The following is a 21,245-nucleotide window of genomic DNA, read 5'->3' on the forward strand; positions in this document are numbered from 1 at the left end:
GATTTTCTAACTGGTAACATGTTCAAAACAAAACCTTTAATTTTCCACCCCACCACACACAAACACGGAGCCGGCATACTCTTGCTTATCTTAGTTAATGGTACCACTATGCATCCAGATACTGAGGCCCAGTCTTCAGATTTATCCTTCATTTATCCATTTCCTATACATCTCCCTCCAAACAAACCACAAGTTATTTTGCCTGTGATTCAGTACATATGGACAATCTGATCACTTATTGCAGCATACACCTCCACCAATACCACAGTCCAGCCCAGCAATGACTGTCACCCATACTGTTAGCATAGCCTTTAAACTGGGCTTCCTGTTTTCACTCTTACACCCACCCAGCAGTCCATGCTCCATATATCAGCCACTGTTATCCTTTAAGACATGAACAGCATCACATTTCTCCTATGTTGAAAATTCCCCAGTGCTTCGCATTCCACATAGAAAATCTGAACCCCTTACCATGATCTGTGGGGCCATCTGAAATCTGTCCCCTGCCTACTTCTCAGACCTTTCTCTATTCTCACTCACTGAGCTCCAATCACATTGACTTTCCTCTGTTTTTGCATAGTCAGCAACCTTCTTTGCACCTCGTAACCTTGCACTCTACCTTCTCTGAGCCCCCTAACCACTCATCTTTTCATAGCTGGCTCTTTTTCATCACTGAGGCTTCCACTTGAATGTTGCTTCCTCAGAGAGGGTTTTCCTTCTCACTGTATCTAAAATGGCCAATCTCAGCCTGGGCAACGTAGAGACACTGTCTCTACAAACAAACAAACAAACAAACAAACAAAAATTAGCTGGGCATGGTGGTGGCGCTTGTCTGTGGTCCCAGATACTTGGGAGGCTGAAGTGGGGGAGTCTCTGGAGCCCAGGCAGTTGAGGCTGCAGTGAGCCGAGATTGTGCCAATGCACTCTAGTCTGGGTAACAGAGTGAGACCTTGTCTCAGAATAAAATAAAATAGCCAATCTGTAGAAAATCATTTTGCCCAAACCAGTTTGTCCAAATCAATATTTTAATTTAGCAAATGACCAAATATTGTTTATAGTTTGGATGTATTTGGTAAACTCAGAAAGTTTCCTATTGAGAATAAGATTAAGAACTTGCTTTTGATTGTCTTTTGGTCAATTGATTATAAGCAAATTGATCTTTGGAAAACAGCACCCTTCACTTTTCATCCCCTACCCTCTTTTATCCCTCTGTAATACCTAACATAACAATAAATCATTTATATATCTGTTTGCTTTTATACTTTATCTTTTACTCTGTAGATTCTAAGCTTTATAAGGACAGAAACTTGTATGGCTTATTCAGTTTTAGCTTCAAGGTCTAAAACAGGTGCTCAAAATATATTGGTTGAATGGATGAATGAAAGAATGAATATCAAAAGAAACTAGATTTGAATACACTAAGAGGGAATAGACAGTGTGCCATTGAAAGCCAAAAATATAGAACATCTCATTCTCTTGAGATTTCAAATAGAGAAAATGAGGACAGGAATTATGAGTTAGCAGAATGAAAGCTTTTGTTTATTTAAATAAAGAAGAACCATGTTTTTGTGTATGAATTAACTAAAAAAAAAAAACAAAGAAAAAGAGGAAGGAGAACCACCAATAAAGGATATTGGTTTACTTGTTCTGTATAAAAACATAAAGTTGTGAGTAAGAAACTCTTCCGTATAGCTCCTTTGTAGTTCTAGATTGTGTTTCTGAGTTTAAAGATTATTAGAAAATTTGATTTAAAATCTTCACTCCACAATAATTCATGAAACAATCAATGGTTAGTTGTTTAGAACTGATTTTATCTGTTACACAACTGCTTAAGGGAATTTAAATTTCTGCTAAAATCAAGTTGATTTTCAAACATAATTAATTATAAAATAATATTAGAAATAAATGTGAAGCACCATGAAGCCCAAATTAATGAGGAGGGAAATGAGGGAGGAAGAGAGTTAAGAGGGCATTTTTCCATACAGTGCTTGTCCTAGAAGATAAGATTAATTAACAAAAGGCTAATTCTTGATGATACAGATTAATATCCCACTCACTATTTATTTATATAGATGACTGATTTCTGCATAACATTTGAAAATGTCATTAAATTAATATTCCAGAAAACTTTGCACATTTTACTTTTTGGAAAAAAATTAGGAAATATGCAAATACAAGGGAAAATTCAGTATAAACGCTTCCAGTCTAGAGAATTAGGTAGTTGCTTCTTTTATTTAAAAATATATATCTTCAAGTGGCTATAATGGTCTTCTGAAAATCAAAAGAATTATTACTATTAAAATTATTCAGAAGTACTTCTTTTAAGAAAAAAGGAAATGGAATTAAAATTCATTGTAACGTGTGTGATAAAAATTGGTTATAAAATTACTTTTAAAATGATCTACCTACCTATTCATCTATCTGTATAATTTAATGCAGAGGGATACATGATTTCAGGCACAGAGCAACTCTAAAGTAGCAGAGTAGTAATGAATTATCCATTGCAATAACATAATATGTGACTTGAGAGTTGTAATGCACAAAATGCAAATTCGCTCTGAAAATTTCTCTTCAATCAGATATACATTGTAAAATCATCTGATTTTCTATGGTTGATATGATTTAATCTTTTAAAATCTATTTCATTTCTATATTTGAGAATATCTGTGGCCTCAAATTGTAATTGAAATTTCAAAATTTTTAAGTTAAAACATTCATATATCAAAAATAAAAAATATTAAAAGGGTCATAAAATATAAGTACATGTCATGCCAGAGAGGTTATTATAACAGTTATTCATAATCATTGCTTTTAGAAGTCAACTTTATCTTTAAACTAATAAAAGCCTTGTGACTCTTCGGTTTCTCTCATTACAAAAAGCCACCTGCATATGAATCTTCACTGATTTTGACATTTTTCACATTTAATTTTAAATCGATATCACTCAATTTTATCTCTACCAGTTTTATTTAAAGTTAAATCCTTTATTTGTGTCAGTAATCATTTGTGGGTTTAATAAATTTTCTCTAAAAGGAATGTGGGCTGGAAGCAGTTAAAGTTTTCAGTCTTAGGTGTTTTGTCATTAAATTAAGATTAACGGAATGTTAATGTCGAAAATGGAAATAGATGCAGATAAACTTCATGCATTCCAAATCCAGTTTTTAGTGAGATAACACATAAATGATTTTATGTGTAGATAAATTAATTTTCCCATAAGGCTGGGAAGAATTACATTCTATATTTAAACAGTAATTAGATTGCACTTGCAGCCTTTAATTCGATCTACCACTCAGGCATTATAAGGAAAACTGGAAATTATTCTGTCTTGATAGACTTATTCTGATATCACTGGAAAGAAGAGCTTGTTGAAATTCTCAATGAAAAACACACACACAAAAAATTTTATTCCTAATCTGTTTCTTAAATTCCTTAAACAAGACTGGAAAATGTTTATTTTCAATGTGTGCTACAATTTTTAATTCTTGAATACAAAGCTACTATTTATATAGCTTGGTTGAGAAGTATTTTTATGTATTATAACTGTAATGAAAGAAACCGTAGTTTCTCTTTCATAATTAAGTAGATGTGATTAATTGTTCAGCACCTTACCTATCTTGGATTTATAAACAATTATTTTATATGTCTATTACGTTTTTGGAGAACAGCACATATTTTGTTACTTGACAGTTATTTTGAAAGTTTAAATTCTTGCTAATATCAAAATGTTAATTCAGTAAAATGGAAACACTCAACTCCTTGGTAAACATGGTATAAGAACAAAGTGATAGTTTTACAAATTCAAAGTTAACACAAACAAGTAGCTAGAGTAAATTCAATTTCTGATTTTACCAATTTTAATTAAAAATTAGTACAAAATTATTCAATGGCTTGGCTCCTAGATTGTTCATTTTTGATAGGTGTTTACACATTAAAATTTTATGAAGTGATTAGGACAAAAAAATTCAAAATATGTTTATCCCTAAGCATTGAAGAATCAATTATGTATAGACCAATAGTTTACAGTTTTTTATTGGTTGGATTTAAGAAATACTTATGATCACAGATATATAAAAATATGTATATTACATATATTTAGGTAATTCAATTAACTGGAATATTTCAATATCAGGTTTAATACATATTGAAAGTCCCCCAATTTTTTGATATTGTGGTGAGTTAATAGCATGGTGAAAAACTAATGCAATAAATTACTTAAATCAAATCTATTTTGTGTTCAGATATTCAGGAAATAAACAGAATATTGACACGGTTGTGTGCCACTGAAGTACAGAGATTTGTTTGGAGAAATACATCATTAGACAATTTCGCCATTGTGCAAATATAACAGACTATACTTACACAGATCTAGACCTTAGAGTCTGCTACACACCTAGGCTATATGGTATAGGTTCATCGCTCCTAGGCTACAAACCTGTGTGACATGTTACTATACTTAATACTCTAGGCGTTTGTAATGCACTGGTAAATCTTTGTGTATCTAAGCATATTTAAACATAGAAAAGATACAGTGAAAGGATGGTATAGACTGAGCCTGTAATCCTAGCACTGTGGGAGGCTGAAGGAGCAGATACCTTGAGGCCAGGAGTTTGGAACCAGCCTGGGCAACATAGCAAGACCCCATCTCAACAAAAAAATAATAAAAAGTAAAAATTAGCCTGGCATGGTGGTCCACACCTGTAGTCCCAGCTACTTGGGAAGTTGAGGCAGGAGGGTTGCTTTGAGCACAGAAGGTTTAGGCTACAGGGAGCTATGATCCTGGCATCACACTGCAGCCTAGGTGATGGAGCAAAATGTTGTCTCAAAAAATCATATATAAATATATATATATATATATATATATATATATATATATATATATATATACACATATAAAATTATGGTATAAATTTTTTTTAAAAAAGGTACACCTGCATAGGGCACATAGCATGAGTGGAGCTTGCAAGATTAGAAGTTGCTCTAGGTAAGTCAGTAAGTGAGTGGTGAGTGAATGCAAAGGCTTAGGACATTACACTATTTAGACTGTACAAATACTGTATACTTAGGCTATACTAAATTTATTTTAAAAATCTTTCTTCAATAACAAATTAACCTTAGCTTACAGTAGTTTATAATAAATTTACTTTAAACTTCAATTTTTAAAAAACTTTTTGATTTTTTGTAGTAACATTTAGCTTAAAAGACAAACTCATTGTACAAAAATGTTTTCTTTATATCCTCACTCTATAAGCTTTTTTTTTCTATTTTTAAATATTTATTTATTTTTTTACTTTTTAAACTTTTTTGTTAAAAACTAAGACACAAACACACACATTAGCCTAGGCCTACACAGGGTCAGGATCATCAATATCACCGTCTTCCGCCTCCACATCTTGTTGCACTGGAAGGGCTTCAGGAACAATAACAGGCATGGAGATGTCATCTCCTGTGATAACAATGCCTTCCTCTGGAAGAACTCACTTAGGTGGCTTTATGGTTAACTTAAAAAAAATCAGTAGAAGGAGTGCACTCTAAAATAACAATAAAAAACATAGTATGGTAAACACCCAGTAACAAAGTTGTTTATTATCATTATCAAATATTATGTACTGTACATACTTGCATGTGCTAGACTTTTATATGACTGGCAATCTGATATTTTTGTTTATACCAGCATCACCACAAACATGTAATATGTTGGACTATGATGTTATGATGGCTATGATGTCACTAAATTATAGGAATTTTTCAGCTCCATTATAATCTTATGGGACCAATGTCATATATACAGTTAGTCATTCACCAAAACATCATTACAAGGCACATGACTGTATTTGATGACATATAATTTCCCCTTCAAAGGGTAGTAAAGTCAATACACAGTTTATGAAAGCTAAAATTTTAATGCATGTGTTATTAGAGAAAAGTTTTAAAATTTCACTCTAATATGATTCCTGAAGTTATTATCAGGTTCTTTTTGGTTGTTTTGTTTTAAAGAATAAAACTGAATCAGAGAAAAACTACTCTAAAATCAAATAAAAACTGTATAATTTGTTCAGAAATTTATTTTTAATTACAAACTCAAAGAGTAATCAGAATTAGTTTGTTGCTAATAATACACAGTGGCCTTAAAAGAGAAATAATGATATTTGGAAATGCTATATTCATTTTTATTTTGAATGAAAACTCCTAAATATTAAATATATTCTCTTCAACATTGCTTTTACAATATAAATTACTTTGTAAAACATACCTGTTAGGGCTACTTAAAGATAAACTCCATATTTTCCTAAATCATTGTGTTATAAATTAATTGGGCTGAAATTTATAAAGAAATATTTTATTCTTGCCTTTATAAAAATTGCATGTGTAAACATCATTTAGAGTTGGCAGAAATCTGATGGAACATCAGTATTGCCTGATTCAGCAATGTTCAACCTTTATTCCACTAAGAATAATATGGCAATTGTCAGTCACATGAACACATATAGCACATATCTTAGAAACCTGGGTGGAAAGCATGTAAGAATGCCTGTGATATAGGGTATCTTTGAATCTATCCTTATTTTATCTTTAACAAATTAAGTAATTTTAAAACATTGTGATTTAACCATTATTGGTAAATAAAATTATTTGTGACCCACTTCGCGGTTCTTAGCCACACACAAACTGCTCAGAAAAATGACCTATTTTAAGGAGAAACATACAGGCTTGGCAGTTTTATTGTAGTTCAAGCCACAGAGATTCAATTCCGTTTTCACACTTTGTCCTGTGGATCTGTGAAAACAGAGTGTAGTGGCTGAGACTGCAGCTGTGGGGTCAGGTTATCATAGTGGAATGCTTGCTGAACAACTCTGTAAGAGCAGAGAGAATATTTTACACGTATTTGCAACCGCAATGTTTCAAAAACTGGCCAGGTTAAAAGAATCACCTGGACTGCTTGTTAAATATAGATTCCTGAACCAAGACGAACCTACTGAGTTAGGATTTCAAATGCAGAGACCTGACAATCTGTATTTTTTCCCCATGAAGCCCAGGTGATCAGGCCATTTGGGGAAACCTGGCATTAATGCTGGCTGACATGATAGAGCTGCTAATCTCAATTGAAGCCTTCTCATAATCATCCCATTTTCATTCTTTCATATTTTTATTGAGGAACTAGTTACTAGCGATGCACAGGTAACACATGAGCTCTACCTAACAATTTATACGTACTCTATTGAAACAGAATTGCAATTACTTTTAAAAGCTGTTACCTTTGATTGCAGGGTAGATGCACCTTAATATCTCACACTAAAGCCTGGAAATCAATGTGAATTAGATCAGTATCAGAATTCATGATATTGCGTTGTTATTTATTTGTACTTGGACTCTGTGGCATATTCATGACACAGTTCTGCTTCATTAGTAGCTCTCTCTGCACCTCTGCATTTTGTTATTCCATTTTGTTTTTTCCTACTCTTCTTCCACCTATTTTTGTAATATACTCAAACAGTGTTTAGATTACTAAGTTATTGCGTGATCTTTTACAACCTAATTAAAAGTGACTATACGGTTGGGACTATAGGAGATAATTTTATTGAATATATTTTATTATTATATATTGAAACAGTCCAGTATCCTTATTTAGGCTAATTATGAAATGTAATTACTAATATATCCAAGGTGTTTACTGTTGCTTAATGCCTCATTTTGATATACCATTTTGACTTGCTGATTATTCCAACTTTCTATTTTTAGATTTTCTCCCTTAATTTACGGGTAAATTATTCTTGGTTCTTTTTGTGGATAAATTGACTTGAGATCATCAGTTATTTAAGTAAGAAACAAAATATCCCACAGTAAAGTCTTTGAAGATAAGATGATAAGAAAAAGGATATGATTAATAATGTGGTCACAATAATTTATTTTCATCAAATAGTAGCACTCATGGGTTTCCCAGTGCTTAACAAAATGTGATAATTTATGGATACTTTGAAAATGAATGCTTTACTTTCTCTTTAGTTAGAACATGTGAGGAGGTCTAAGGATTGTCTGGTTTTCCTTTGGGAATCTAACCTCCCTTTGTAGCAACCAGTGTGTAATCTACTAGCTTTCATTCTGGAAAAGAAAAAGATTTTAAAAATTATAAAAATATAGCAGGTGGTGAATTAAGTACTTAATGTGACCATCTTTTATAAATAATGAAGTCAGATTATGAATTAAATTTCTCAATGACACTTTTTTCTATCATTAGTGAGTTATGAATGACTATAGAATAAAGTAAGAAACTACCATACATGTAACTTATTTTTTATTTCATTACTTTTTTAATTTTGAGACAGAGTCTCACTCTGTCACCGAGGCTGGAGTGCAATGGTGCAATCTCAGCTCATTGCAACCTCCGCCTCCCAGGTTCAAATGATTCTTCTGCCTCAGCCTCCTGAGTAACTGGGATTACAGGCATCTGCCACCATGCCTGGGTAATTTTTGTATTTTTAATAGAGAGGGGGTTTCCCCATGTTGGTCTGGCTGGTCTCGAACTCTTACCCTCAGGTGATCCACCTCCCTCGGCTTCCCAAAGTGCTGGAATTACAGGCGTGAGCCACCACGCCTGGTGATTTCATTACTTTTAAACAGATTGTGATCCTAGAAATATGTCTGTATAAAACTTGTGTGTTGTAGGCAATGGTCATTCTTGTCCGGTCATTATCCTTGGAAAGCTGAATTTGGTTGAGTAGGCTGAGAGTTACAATTTAGATACTTAGATTAGTTTTGATGAGTCATTTAATGTCTGGAGCAGATGGACGGTGTTAGCATGAATACTAAACCTTCTCATGTTTTACCTCTGCTTGTGTTACAGAAACCCTTGAAACTCTCATCAAACAAGCAGAAAATTACACCAGTATACTTTTTTGCAGTACCTACAGGAACATGGCCTTGGAGGCTGCTGCTTCGGTTCAGGAGTTCTTCACTGATGTGGGGCTGTATTTATTTGGTGCGGATGTTAATCCTGAAGAATTTGTAAACAGATTTTTTGACAGTCTTTTTCCTCTGGTCTACAACCACCTCATTAACCCTGGTGTGACTGACAGTTCCCTGGAATACTCAGAATGCATCCGGATGGCTCGCCGGGATGTGAGTCCATTTGGTAATATTCCCCAAAGAGTAATGGGACAGATGGGGAGGTCCCTGCTGCCCAGCCGCACTTTTCTGCAGGCACTCAATCTGGGCATTGAAGTCATCAACACCACAGACTATCTGCACTTCTCCAAAGAGTGCAGCAGAGCCCTCCTGAAGATGCAATACTGCCCGCACTGCCAAGGCCTGGCGCTCACTAAGCCTTGTATGGGATACTGCCTCAATGTCATGCGAGGCTGCCTGGCGCACATGGCGGAGCTTAATCCACACTGGCATGCATATATCCGGTCGTTGGAAGAACTCTCGGATGCAATGCATGGAACATACGACATTGGACACGTGCTGCTGAACTTTCACTTGCTTGTTAATGATGCTGTGTTACAGGCTCACCTCAATGGACAAAAATTATTGGAACAGGTAAGTAGGAGCTCCACATTTTCAGTCTGACTTCTTGTAATTCAAATATTAGCCATGATATACTTTAGGAAATAGTAGGAGAATGTGTCTGTTGATATATTCAATCCAAGATATTATTTTTTTATATCTTATGATAAAATTTTGATTGGCTGAAATACCACATTCTCTCCTAAGTAGAAGTCTGCTGAAAGGGTGAGTACTGTGACGTGGCAAGAGCTCAGGTTTGAAATCAGGAACAGCATAGATTTGAATCTTTAGCCTGCCGGTAATTAGCTAAATGAAATTAGGTAAGTCCCTTTGGCCTCTTTGCACCTCAATTTCCTCAGTGATAAAAAGGAAATAGTAACATACAACATTTGAAGTATTCTTTTTTGGGAATATAGGCATTATGTGTGCAAACTACTTAGTATGGTACCTGGTACTCCAAAAATGGGTAGTTATTGTTAGAATTTCAGAAGCATTTGGCTTTAAAATGGAAAATGCCAGTTATATATCCCTGAAGTTAAGACTTGATAGCTTAGTGTTCAAAAGAGTTTCTTCAGAGATGCTCCAAAATCTGTCACAGTGATGGCGTGATAATTTTTAAAATGTAGTGTATACACGGTCATGGTGTTTTATTCCTAGCAGGCTGAAACGTTTTTAAAACACAATCATCAAATCAAAACACATGAGAGTTTTCTATTTGTCTCACCTTACATAGAACCATTTTTCTAAATATTCACTGGCTCCCTTAGTAATAGTTCTCATATCCCAGAGTGAAATAGGATAGCATGCTGATGGTTCTACTAAACATATTCCCCTGAAATAAAATTATACTCTCCAGTGCCAACAAAAGACATCTCCTTAGGCTGGCATTGATTTACCAAATTAACAAGCATTCTCATAAATTAGCTTTAAGCAGAAAATTTTAGTAGAGGGAGTTTCTCCATGTTGGTCAGGCTGGTCTCGAACTCTTGACCTCAGGTGATCCACAGGCCTCAGCTTCCCAAAGTGCTGGAATTACAGGCATGAGCCACCGCGCCCAGCGATTTCATTACTTTTAAACAGACTTTGATTCAATTCCTTTAATTAATGACTGATAGAATCTGAAAAGCTTTATGTCCAAACGCGTTTTCCCCTTCTCTTCCTAACCTTCAGGGACTTTCCAGGTCCTGCGTGAGCCTTTATGGTTCCTTTCTGCAAATTAGAAATGACACCTCCTTTAGGTGGATTCAGCACAGCAGCATAGGGTAATGTGTGGGCTGAAATTTAACTCCCTGCTTCATTCAGCTGGGTATCCCTATACAATTAACCGGGTTCTCAACTTGATGTAATGGCCTGGTCTTCTTGTCTTCTCACATCCTTTTATGAAAATTGTACATGGCCCAGAACCTCTGGAAGGGATGCAATAAACCATCTCAAAAGGAGGTACCAATGACTGCTGTGGTTTCAAGTATTTCCTTGAAAAATAAGCACTTAGATCCAGGGAACAAAATGCTCTTATTATTATTATTATTTATTTATTTATTTTTTGACGGAGTCTCACTCTGTCACCCAGGCTGGGGTGCAGTGGCATGATCTCAGCTCACTGCAAGCTCCGCCTTCCGGGTTCATGCCATTCTCCCGCCTCAGCCTCCCACGTAGCTGGGACTACAGGTGCCCACTACCATGCCCAACTAATTTTTTGTATTTTTTTAGTAGAGAGGTGGTTTCACCATGTTAGCCAGGATGGTCTCGTTCTCCTGACCTCGTGACCTGCCCGCCTCGGCCTCCCAAAGTGCTGGGATTATAGGCATGAGCCACTGAGCCGGACCAAAATGCTCATATTATTTTATTGAGTATCTCCAAAAGGGAAAGTAAGCACAAGAAATCAGAGACCAAGTCCAGATTTGATTATTAATTTGGGTCATTATAACTTAATGTCCCATGGCCAGGACCTTCTGATATATGTAAGTGAATAGGTTTTCAAGACCTTTTTTCCTATGTATTTTGGAAACCTGAAGGGCCTTTTTGTGTCCTTAAAATCTATCCTGTAGAAAATCTTCTGTGTTTCCTATTTCAAAGACTAAAATAAAAGTTTGCAGTAGACAGGCAAGCTTTCAAATCCTGAGTTTGCTACCCATTAGTCATGTGGGCTGGGTCAGCTTCTAAAACCCTTAAGCCTGTTTGTCCTATGTGAAAAGGAAGGGAGGAATAACTTAAATAGGACAGTGTTGGTCAGAGTCTGACACTGGTAGGCAGTTGGTACCTGATAACCTTACTCTTTTCTCTCCTTATTCTAAGGAAGGCCCTAAGCAGACCTTGGTGAAGCAGGTGACTTTAGTATCTCAAAGTATTAGAATCAGGTTTATGTTTCCTAAAGAAGTTTTATACACAACTTTTATCATGTAAAACTCTCTGCTGTATTTTCAAAGAGAGTGCTCTTTTTAAAATAGTCTGATTTTATATAATAGTCCTATGACTATTTTGAGAAATATAAATTATTACTGATAAATTATGGATTCTTTTCTAAATAAAACAACTGAGTCCTCTTTTTTACTTATGGGAACAGAAGAAGAAACTGATTTTAAATTCCTTGAAAATTGACCCATTAATATTTATTTCTACCAATTCAAAGTGATTTATAAGCTCTTTATCAAACTTTGATAACCAGTTCGCACATCGATGAATTTAACAAATTCAAAATAAATTACTGGAAAGCCAGCAAATAATGACTTTCTCACATTCCCAAAGAAATCTCTGAGATCTAGTACTTCCAAGTCTACTCCTCCATAAATACATATTTTCACTTTAAAATATCTGTGGAGATACCTGATATATATATAAAATACTTCTGTTGGATGAATTTCAACTGGAAACAAAGTTTAGTTTTCTGAGAAAAATCATAAGTACCTTATATTTGGTTAATGTTTAGAGAAACAAAAGTTAATTTACAAGATAATTTTTTAAATTTCATAATTCTGTGATTTTATTAAGACAAAGTTTGATTTAATAAAGAAGAGAGGTAACAAAGAGTAGGAATTAAAAGCACAAGTCCAAGTGTTAAATTGGATTTCACATCTGTCTCTGCCTCTTACTAGCTCTGAGTTTACGCATTTGCTTATTTTATCTCTGTTTGCTTCAGTTTCCTCTTTGGTTAGATGGGGTGATGAAATACCATAATAGTATCCTTGTGAGAATAAAATGAACTTACACACTTAATGTCTTGTGCATAGTGTTTACATTTTACCAGTTATCACTATCACATTATATTATTTAGAAATAATTCACTGATTTATCTGAATTTTTTTTCTTTTTATTTGAAATGGAGTCTTGCTCTGTCACCAGGCTGGAGTGCAGTGGCATGATCTCGGCTCACTGCAACCTCTACCTCCCGGGTTCAAACGATTCTCCTGCCTCAGCCTCCCAAGTAGCTGGGACTACAGGTGCCTGCCACCATGCCCAGCTAATTTTTGTAGTTTTAGTAGAGATGGGGTTTCACTGTATTGGACAGGCTGGTCTCAAACTCCTGACCTTGTGATCTGCCCGCCTTGGCCTCCCAAAGTGCTGGGATTACAGGCATGAGCCACCACGCCTGGCCTTCTCTGATGTTTTAAATGCTCCCAAAGTAAACATTTATTTCTTAGGGGTGTAGAGCTCAAAAAATATTTTAAATAATCATTTAATTAAACAAATGCTTGTAATTGTCTTTATGAATGAGAAAAAATTGATATTTTCAGAAAATATTAGACAAGTCTCTAACGTATTTTTAATATTAACGGATTAATATTAAAATGTTAATATTAATAGATTACCCTCTTGTTAATAAATTATTAATTCATTTGGTAAATAAATACTTCATATTTTTTGAAATCCTATTTCTTAGTAATTACATTTAATATATTATTTCTTGCTATAATTTGACACTTTAACTTATTAAAGGCATAAGAACATAGAGTCTGGTTTAATAACATTGTTTCAAGATGTTCTAAACAGAACAAATGTTACCAGGAAACACAGCTAAATATTGATTCTATACAGTTTTAGGAAAAAAAGATGTTTTCTTTTTTTTTTTTTTTTGAGACGGAGTCTCGCCCTGTCACCCAGGCTGTAGTGCAATGGCGCGATCTTGGCTCACTGCATCCTCCACCTCCCGGGTTCAAGCAATTCTCCTGCCTCAGCCTCCCAAGTAGCTGGAATTACAGGCATGCGTCACCACACCCAGCTAATTTTTTGTATCTTTAGTAGAGACGGGGTTTCACCATGTTGGCCAGGTTGGTCTCGAGCTCCTGACTTCATGATCCACCCATCTTGGCCTCCCAAGGTCAGAATCATAATTTTCAACAAAAAAAGTCCCATTCTATTTTTTCTTACAGATAAGTTTTTCAGCTATTCTATCTATGCAATATTAATAGAGATTCAGCTGGTTGTACTCAAATTACTTTAGAATTACTATATAATTCTATCAATAAAACCTATCAAAAATGACTTTACGGTGAATTGTATAATATATACTAACATACTTAAATTCACTGTTAAGGAAACTAATATCTTATCACTTCTTCTGTACATTTATCTGAATCTGTAGACAGTAAGCATAGTAAATTTATTAAGTGTTTTTAGGCATTTAAACTATACCTTCAATAAAAGAAAAGTTAAAGTAGCAGCCTGGATTATTTAGGACAAAATGCTAATTTTGTCCAATTTATTCAATGATGTGATATATATTTTCCTACAATATGGATGTATGTGAGATTTTGCAAAAATAAGTACTAGAGAACAAAAAAGCGTAGGGAAGAATTCTCAAAATCTCAGTCTCCAAAGTAACCTAATTAAAATACAATGCCATTGCAATTTTAGATATTTTAAATTTAGATATTAAATGCAATACATTCTACAGTAACTATCACACATGAACTTGAAAAAGTCATGACATTTGCTTAGCGTCAGTCAGTCTAGTGCAGTGTGGGAGTTTTTGAGTGATGAAGAAGAGGTGGCAGAGTGCATCACCTTCTCGTGGTCATGACACTTTCACAATAATAAGAAGGCTAATATGCCCTTTCCCTAGAAAAGTAAGACACGCAGACACACAGGCACATGCAAACTATTGCATATAATTTCAGTGACTTTACAGCTCCTGTGATGCCACAGACCTGAGGGTGAGGACCCCTGGGTTAAAGAAAGGACATCTCATTCTTAGGGTGAAATAGAATGATACCAGAGTTGGTTCCTAGAGAGGTTCAAACATGGATGAAATTATTTTGAAATTAATGTTGGATATGTAGAGTGTGTTCTTTTGAGCATGACTCAGATCAGAATGTATAAACTTTGGACAGAGAAGAGATTGGAATGAATAAGTAGAATCTCTAGGGTTGCTCCAGTTTCCATAATATATGAAAAGTTGACAAGATATTGTTTCTGAAATAAAAATGTTTTGGTGGGGGAGCTTTCATTCATGTTCATATTTGGACTTGGCTGCCACAAGGTGGAAGGTGTGACCAAAGGTTGTATATAAGCTACCTCATAGACGAAGCCCATGGGTGGTTGGACAAAATTTCATTCAAAATACCATTGCAATTTTAGATATTTTAATTTTAGATATCTAAATGCAATACATTCTACAGTAACTGTTAGTAGTGTTGAAAGATATTATTTTTACCTTTGCTTAATTTTTGTTTAACATATGTGGTGGGTTGATATTGAACTTATGATTTAGTACATGGCTCTTCTGAGGAATAAGACTGGGAATTGACAAAGAAAAAGAAAAGGCATAAGAATTAAATTTGTAACAATTGAGAGCGGAAAATATAAGCTCCTGGTGTGAAAGTCAGCTCTGAAAGAATCCAATGAAAGTGGGCTGACTTTGATTTATAGAAAACACTGTAAGCTAATAAAGCAGAAAAGGAAGATTCATTAGACCACAGGAGGGTTATCTATTCTAACTCACAGTTCTATGTAGAGATCTTTTCTAAAGGTTTTCACCCACCGACTTCTGGTCACTATATAGTGTTGAGGAACTTCTTACTCCAGATGTGGCCATATTAAGTGTGTAGTAACAATTAATTGTTTCTATTTTTAATATGAAGGTAATTTTGTTTTTTTTCAGATATGGAATGAGATGTTTTCTGATTAGAGGCAAGTCAAAGGGTAATTTTATTGTGCATGGATTTTCTGTTTAGATATCATAAATTTGATACTCTGTTGAGGTAGTTCTGTGATATTTCAGCCTCTGCTGGTAGGAATTTTCTTCACATGCCTGATTAGCTCTGAATCCTTCTTATTTTGGAGATTTGACCCCTGCATGTGTGGGCTGTGCTAGTGGAGTGGTGATAGTGGTGAGTGGAACCTCTCCTGAGGTGATTAGCAGTGGTGAGGGCTAATGAAGACTCATGTACCTCATAATGAGGCAAGTCCAAAATTCTTTAGGGGCAGGTAACAAGTTTGAATACTTTCTGTGTAAACAGTTCATAGAACTTTGAAAGTGTTGCATGATTATTTTGTGATTTTATCTTTCTGTTAAATATTGTGGTGTGAGTTACTTGAGAATAAAGACTGATAATCACAGTTATTTACTTTTACATAATTTCCTGAGAGAGGTAAAAATATTAAATATCTTGTGAAAGTCTGAAGGTCTGTAAGGCAGAATCTGAGCAGAGGCCTCCTAGAAGAGTGGTCCATCACGTTTGTGGACATCTCAAGTTGCTGGAAAGTTTATCCTTATGGTGAAGGATTATATGTGTAATAGTCACCCATGGTATACTAGAATGTAATGTTGTGAAGATAGGAACTAAGTCTTGGCCATCTTTGCCTTTAAGTATTTGAAGGCTATTATTCTGTCACTTTTCTTGACATCTTCTTCTTTCCAGGTTACTCACTCCCATTTAATTCTAAATGTAAAAGGAAAAAGAACCCTTACATTCTTCCTCAATCAAATTACGTGTCAAATGTGCATTTGCTTTTGTTAAGTTATTGAGGTTTCTTTGAGCAAACAATCTCTTATCCCAATATTATGAGCTGTTTGTCTCCTGGGAATAAGAAATTTTTAATAATGCCTAGTGATTCTTTTGAATTTTTCTGAAATAATTTCTGATTGAATTTTATGTGAATAGGTCTTCAGGTGCATCACTGATGCTTTCAGCTGCTTTGACAATCCTCCGGCTACTTTTGTGGGGTAAATCTCTCTAAATTAATACTGCATAAACTCATGTGTATGTCTTTCCACAATTTAATTTATTTTTCATTTAACTACCTTTTAATTGTCAAAAATTATATGTATTTATGGTGTACAACATGATATTTTGATATATGTGAAATAATTAAAATCAAGCTAATTAAGATATCCTTCACCTCATGTACACATTTTTTTAGTGAGAATGTTTAAAATCTACTCTCTGAGAAAGTTCAAGTGTATAATACATTGTTATTAACTATAGTCACAATGCTGTACAATAGATCTCCAGAACTCATTCTTTCTGTCTAATTGAAACTTCTTACTTTTTGACAAACATGTCCTCAGCCTCAGCCCTGGCAAACACCATTGTCTTTGCTCCTTTGAGTTTGACTTTTTTAGATTCTACATAAAAATGAGATTCATACAACATTTGTCTTTCTCTGCCTGACTTATTTCACTTAGCATAATTCCTTCTAGATTCGTGCATGTTGCTGCAAATGACAGAATTTCTTTCTTTTTAAGGCTTAATAATATTCCACTGTGTGTGTGTGTGTGTGTGTGTTTGTGTTTGTGTATGTGTGTGTATTCTCTTATTCCATAGGTTCTCTCTACATTATGTTGATTGTTTCATTGGCTGTGCAGAATCATATGTATATATCTCACATCTGCTTTATCTATTCATCTGTTGATGGACACTTAGATTGATTCTGTATCTTGACTATTGTGAATACTGCTGCAATAAACATGGGAGTTCAGACATCTCTTCCACATACTGATTTCATATCTTTTCGATGTATACCCAAAAGGATAATTGCTGTAGCATATGGTAGTTCTATTTTTAATTTTTTGAGGAACCACTGCACTTTTCTTCATAACACCTGTACAAAGTAACATTCCTGCCAATAGCATACAAGTTTCCCCCTTTCTCCACATCCTCAGAACACTTGTTATTCTTTTGTCTTTTTGGTAATATCCATTCTAACAGATTTGAAATAATATCTCATTGTGGTTTTAATTTGCATTTCCCTGTTGATTCATGATATTAAACATTTAAACATACACCTCTTGGCCATTTGTATGTTTTCCTTGGAGAAATGTCTAAATTCAGGCCCTCTGCTGTGGTTAAGGTTATTTGTTTTATTGTTATTGAGTGTTTGAGTTCCTTATGTATTTTGGCTATGAAGCCCTTATCAGATGATGGCTTGCAAATATTTTCCCTTATTCCACAGGTTGTCTCTTCACTCTGTTGATTGTTTCCTTGGATATGCATAGCATTTTAGCTTGAAGGAATCTCATTTGTCTATTTTTGCTCTTGTGGCCTGTACTTGTGGGGTCATATCCAAAAAATCTTGCTAAGACTAATGTCAAGAACATTTTTTTCCTATGTTTTCTACTAGTACTTTTACAGTTTCAGGTCTTATGTTAGTCCAAAATTAATTAACTAGAGATGCATAAATTTATTTCTGGGATCTTAATTCTGTTCCAGTGGTCTGCATGTCTGTCTTTATACTTGTACCATGATATTTTGTTTATTATAACTTTGTAGTATATTTTGAAGTCAGGCAGTGTGATGCCTTATTCTTATTGCACAATATTGCTTTACTATTTGTAGTCTTTTGTGGTTCCATACAAATTTTAGGATTTTTTTCTCTATTTCTGTGAAAAATTTCATTGGTACTTTGATAGAGATTGCACTGAATCTATAGATGGCTTTAGGTACTGGACATTTTAATAATATTAACTCTTCTAATTCAAGAACGTGGACATCATTCTATTTAAGTTCATCCTCTTCAATTTTTCATCAATTTTTATAGTTTTCAGTGTACATATCTTCAACTTCCTTTGTTAAACTTATTTTCTAAGTGACTTTTTGGTAGTGGTTGTGAATGGGATTGTTTTCTTGATTTCTTTTTCTGATAGCTTGCTGTTAGTGTATGGAAGTGCTACAGATTTTATGTTTATTTTGATTAGTGATATTAAGCATTTAAAAATATACCTGTTGGTCATTTAATAAAGTTTGTTTATTATTTGTTTACCAAATTTGTTTATTATTTATTACCTTTTCTTGGAGTATTTAGGGTTTTCTGTAAATAAGATCATGTTATCTGAAAAGAGGCAATTTAACTGTTTCCCTTTTTATTTGGATGCCTTTTATTGAGTTTTCTTGCCTAATTGCTCTGGCAAGAAATTCAAGTACTATGTTGAATAGAAGTGGCAAGAGTGGACACTCTTGTCCTCTTCCTGATCTTAGAGGGAAAGGTTTCAACTTTTCACTATTGAGTATAATGTTAGCTGTGGGATTGTGATATATGGCCCTTATTGTATTGAGATAAATTCCTCCTATAACTTATTTGTTGAGAGTTTTTGTCATGAAAGAATATTGAATTGTATCAAATGCTTTTTTGTGTGTGTTTATTGAGATCATATTATTTTTGTCATTCATTCTGTTAAAGTGGTATATCATGTTTATGTCTTTGTATATGGTGAATCATCCTTGCATCCCAGGGATAAATGTCACTGCTGCTGAGTATGGTTTGCCAGCATTTTGTTGAAGATTTTTGAATCTGTGTTCATAAGGGATAATGATATGTACTTTTATTTTCTTTTAGTGTCCTTATCTGGCTTTTGTATCAGGGTAATGCTGGCCTTATAAAATGAATTTGGCAGTATATCTTCCTCTTTGACTTTTTAAAGAGCTTGAGAAGGATTGGTGCTAGTTCCTTTAAACGTTTGGTGAAATTCAACTGTGGAGCCATTCATCTGGGATTTTATATAATGGGGAATTATTTTAAAATGTTTCATTCAATTTCCTTAATCCTTATTGGTCTATTCAGATTCTCTACTTCTTCATGATTCAGTCTTGGTAGTTTGTATGTTTCTAGGCATTTTTCCATTTCTTCTAGGTTATCTGATTTGTTTGCATATACTTATTCATTTTATTCTCTTATGATCCTTTGTACAGAATTATCTGTATATTTCTTTAAGGTCCATTTGGTCTCAAGTGTAGTTCAAAATTAATGTTTCCTTATTGATTTTCTTTCTGGTTGATCTAGCCATTGTTGAAAGTAGAGTATTGAAGTCCTCTACTCTTTGCAATACTATTGTATTGCAGTCCATTTCTGGCTTGTATCTATTAATATGTACCTTTTTATCTAGGTGTGTCAATGTTGGGTGCATACATATTTGCAATTCTTATGCAACATTTTAAAACTGATCCTTTTGTCATTATGTAATGCCCTTCTTTGTCTCTTTTTACAGTTTTGACATAAAGTCTATTTCATCTAAGTACCACCTCTATACTCTTTTGGTTTCCATTTGCATGGAATGAATATCCTTTTCTACCCCTTCACTTTCAGTTTTTATATGACCATAGAAGGCATGACCCACCCCCGCCACAGAGCATTCCTAGGGGATCTGGGTCTGGGCTAAGCTCCCACGGCATTGCTGCCTCTGCTGGTCATGGGGCCCCCAGGATCAGTATTACATACAGCATCATGGCAGTCATTGGACCTTCCATGACTTCTGAAGCCTCTGATGAGTCACCTCAAATTGCCAGAACTCCATGGCCACAGAAAACCACAGAGTACCATTGTGAGCCTCCTGCCTAAAACTTCTCAGGACTTGAAAACCAAGGACAACCTCACTCAAGATGGGACAAGGAAAACAGTGCCTCTCAACTTTCTCCATGTCTTGACCACAAAGTCAATAGTCATATTACATGATCCTCGGAGTAAGGACTAAGCTCTGTAGGCCAGAGTGGATAGCCAGGGCCTCTGGCTACCCTAACCCCTTCCTAATTGACTCAGTAAATAAGAAGGAAAATCTCTTTCCACACCTGTGATCATTCTTGGTCAATAGTTGAGAAGTTCTACAGTGGAGGAATGCAAGTCTACAACATTGGCCACTGATCCTCTTTCTCTTTAATAAAACTTTGCATTATTTGACCTTGGAGACCTAATCTATCTAGAGATGATCAGAGAAGACTCCAGCTGTCAGTTCCCTTCTTGGTCTTGTGTCTGGCTGGTTTCAGCTATGCATGGGAAGGGTGGTGTAAGAGGTGTGAGGATGGAGAAGGTTTATACTCCCTTCTCTGTTTTCATTTTTAACAACTAAGGAAGAAATAATAGGAATTTTCAAAGTCTTCACATTTCAGGAATGTGTAGTCTAACTGTGGGATATTTTGTTCCACTCACATTTTTCCCCTTCTGACTGTTCACATTTATGATTCTGACTTCGTGAATCAGAAAGGCTGGCTGCTAACATCTAACTCTTTAGCACCTATCTTTTGAGACAGGTAGTACCTCCCACTTTCAAAAATTGGGGCCTGCTATTCTCCTTATTCTATTTTCAGCTACTCTCTATGTAATAAGCAGATGAGGCACTTTTTGTTGAAAGATTACCCAAGGAAAATGTCAATAGAAAGCATGGTAGGTTTTGGTAGAGTCAGTATTAGGATGTGTACTAAACTCTTCAGTGACATTTGTCTGTACAGTGGAAGCACAATATGGATAGTCTGATTTAGAGATGATCCAAACTCATTTCATCAGATCAGCAGTAGATGTTTGATGCTGGATATCATCGT

The 21,245-nt window shown here is 34.8% G+C and overlaps 1 protein-coding gene across 12 annotated transcripts in view; it reads left to right on the forward strand.

The window, feature by feature from the left end:
• The window catches only part of GPC5 (glypican 5), a 1,468,617-nt gene that overhangs the window by 285,727 nt on the left and 1,161,645 nt on the right, over positions 1 to 21,245 (forward strand). For all 12 annotated transcript variants that reach the window (NM_004466.6, XM_017020435.3, XM_011521054.4 and 9 more), the window contains exon 3: positions 8,840 to 9,534. In NM_004466.6, the coding sequence (NP_004457.1) occupies positions 8,840 to 9,534 (695 nt within the window). The remainder of the gene's footprint in view (positions 1 to 8,839; positions 9,535 to 21,245) is intronic.

The sequence above is a fragment of the Homo sapiens genome, chromosome 13 (genome assembly GCF_000001405.40).
Source record: "Homo sapiens chromosome 13, GRCh38.p14 Primary Assembly".
Classification (NCBI taxonomy): domain Eukaryota; kingdom Metazoa; phylum Chordata; class Mammalia; order Primates; family Hominidae; genus Homo; species Homo sapiens.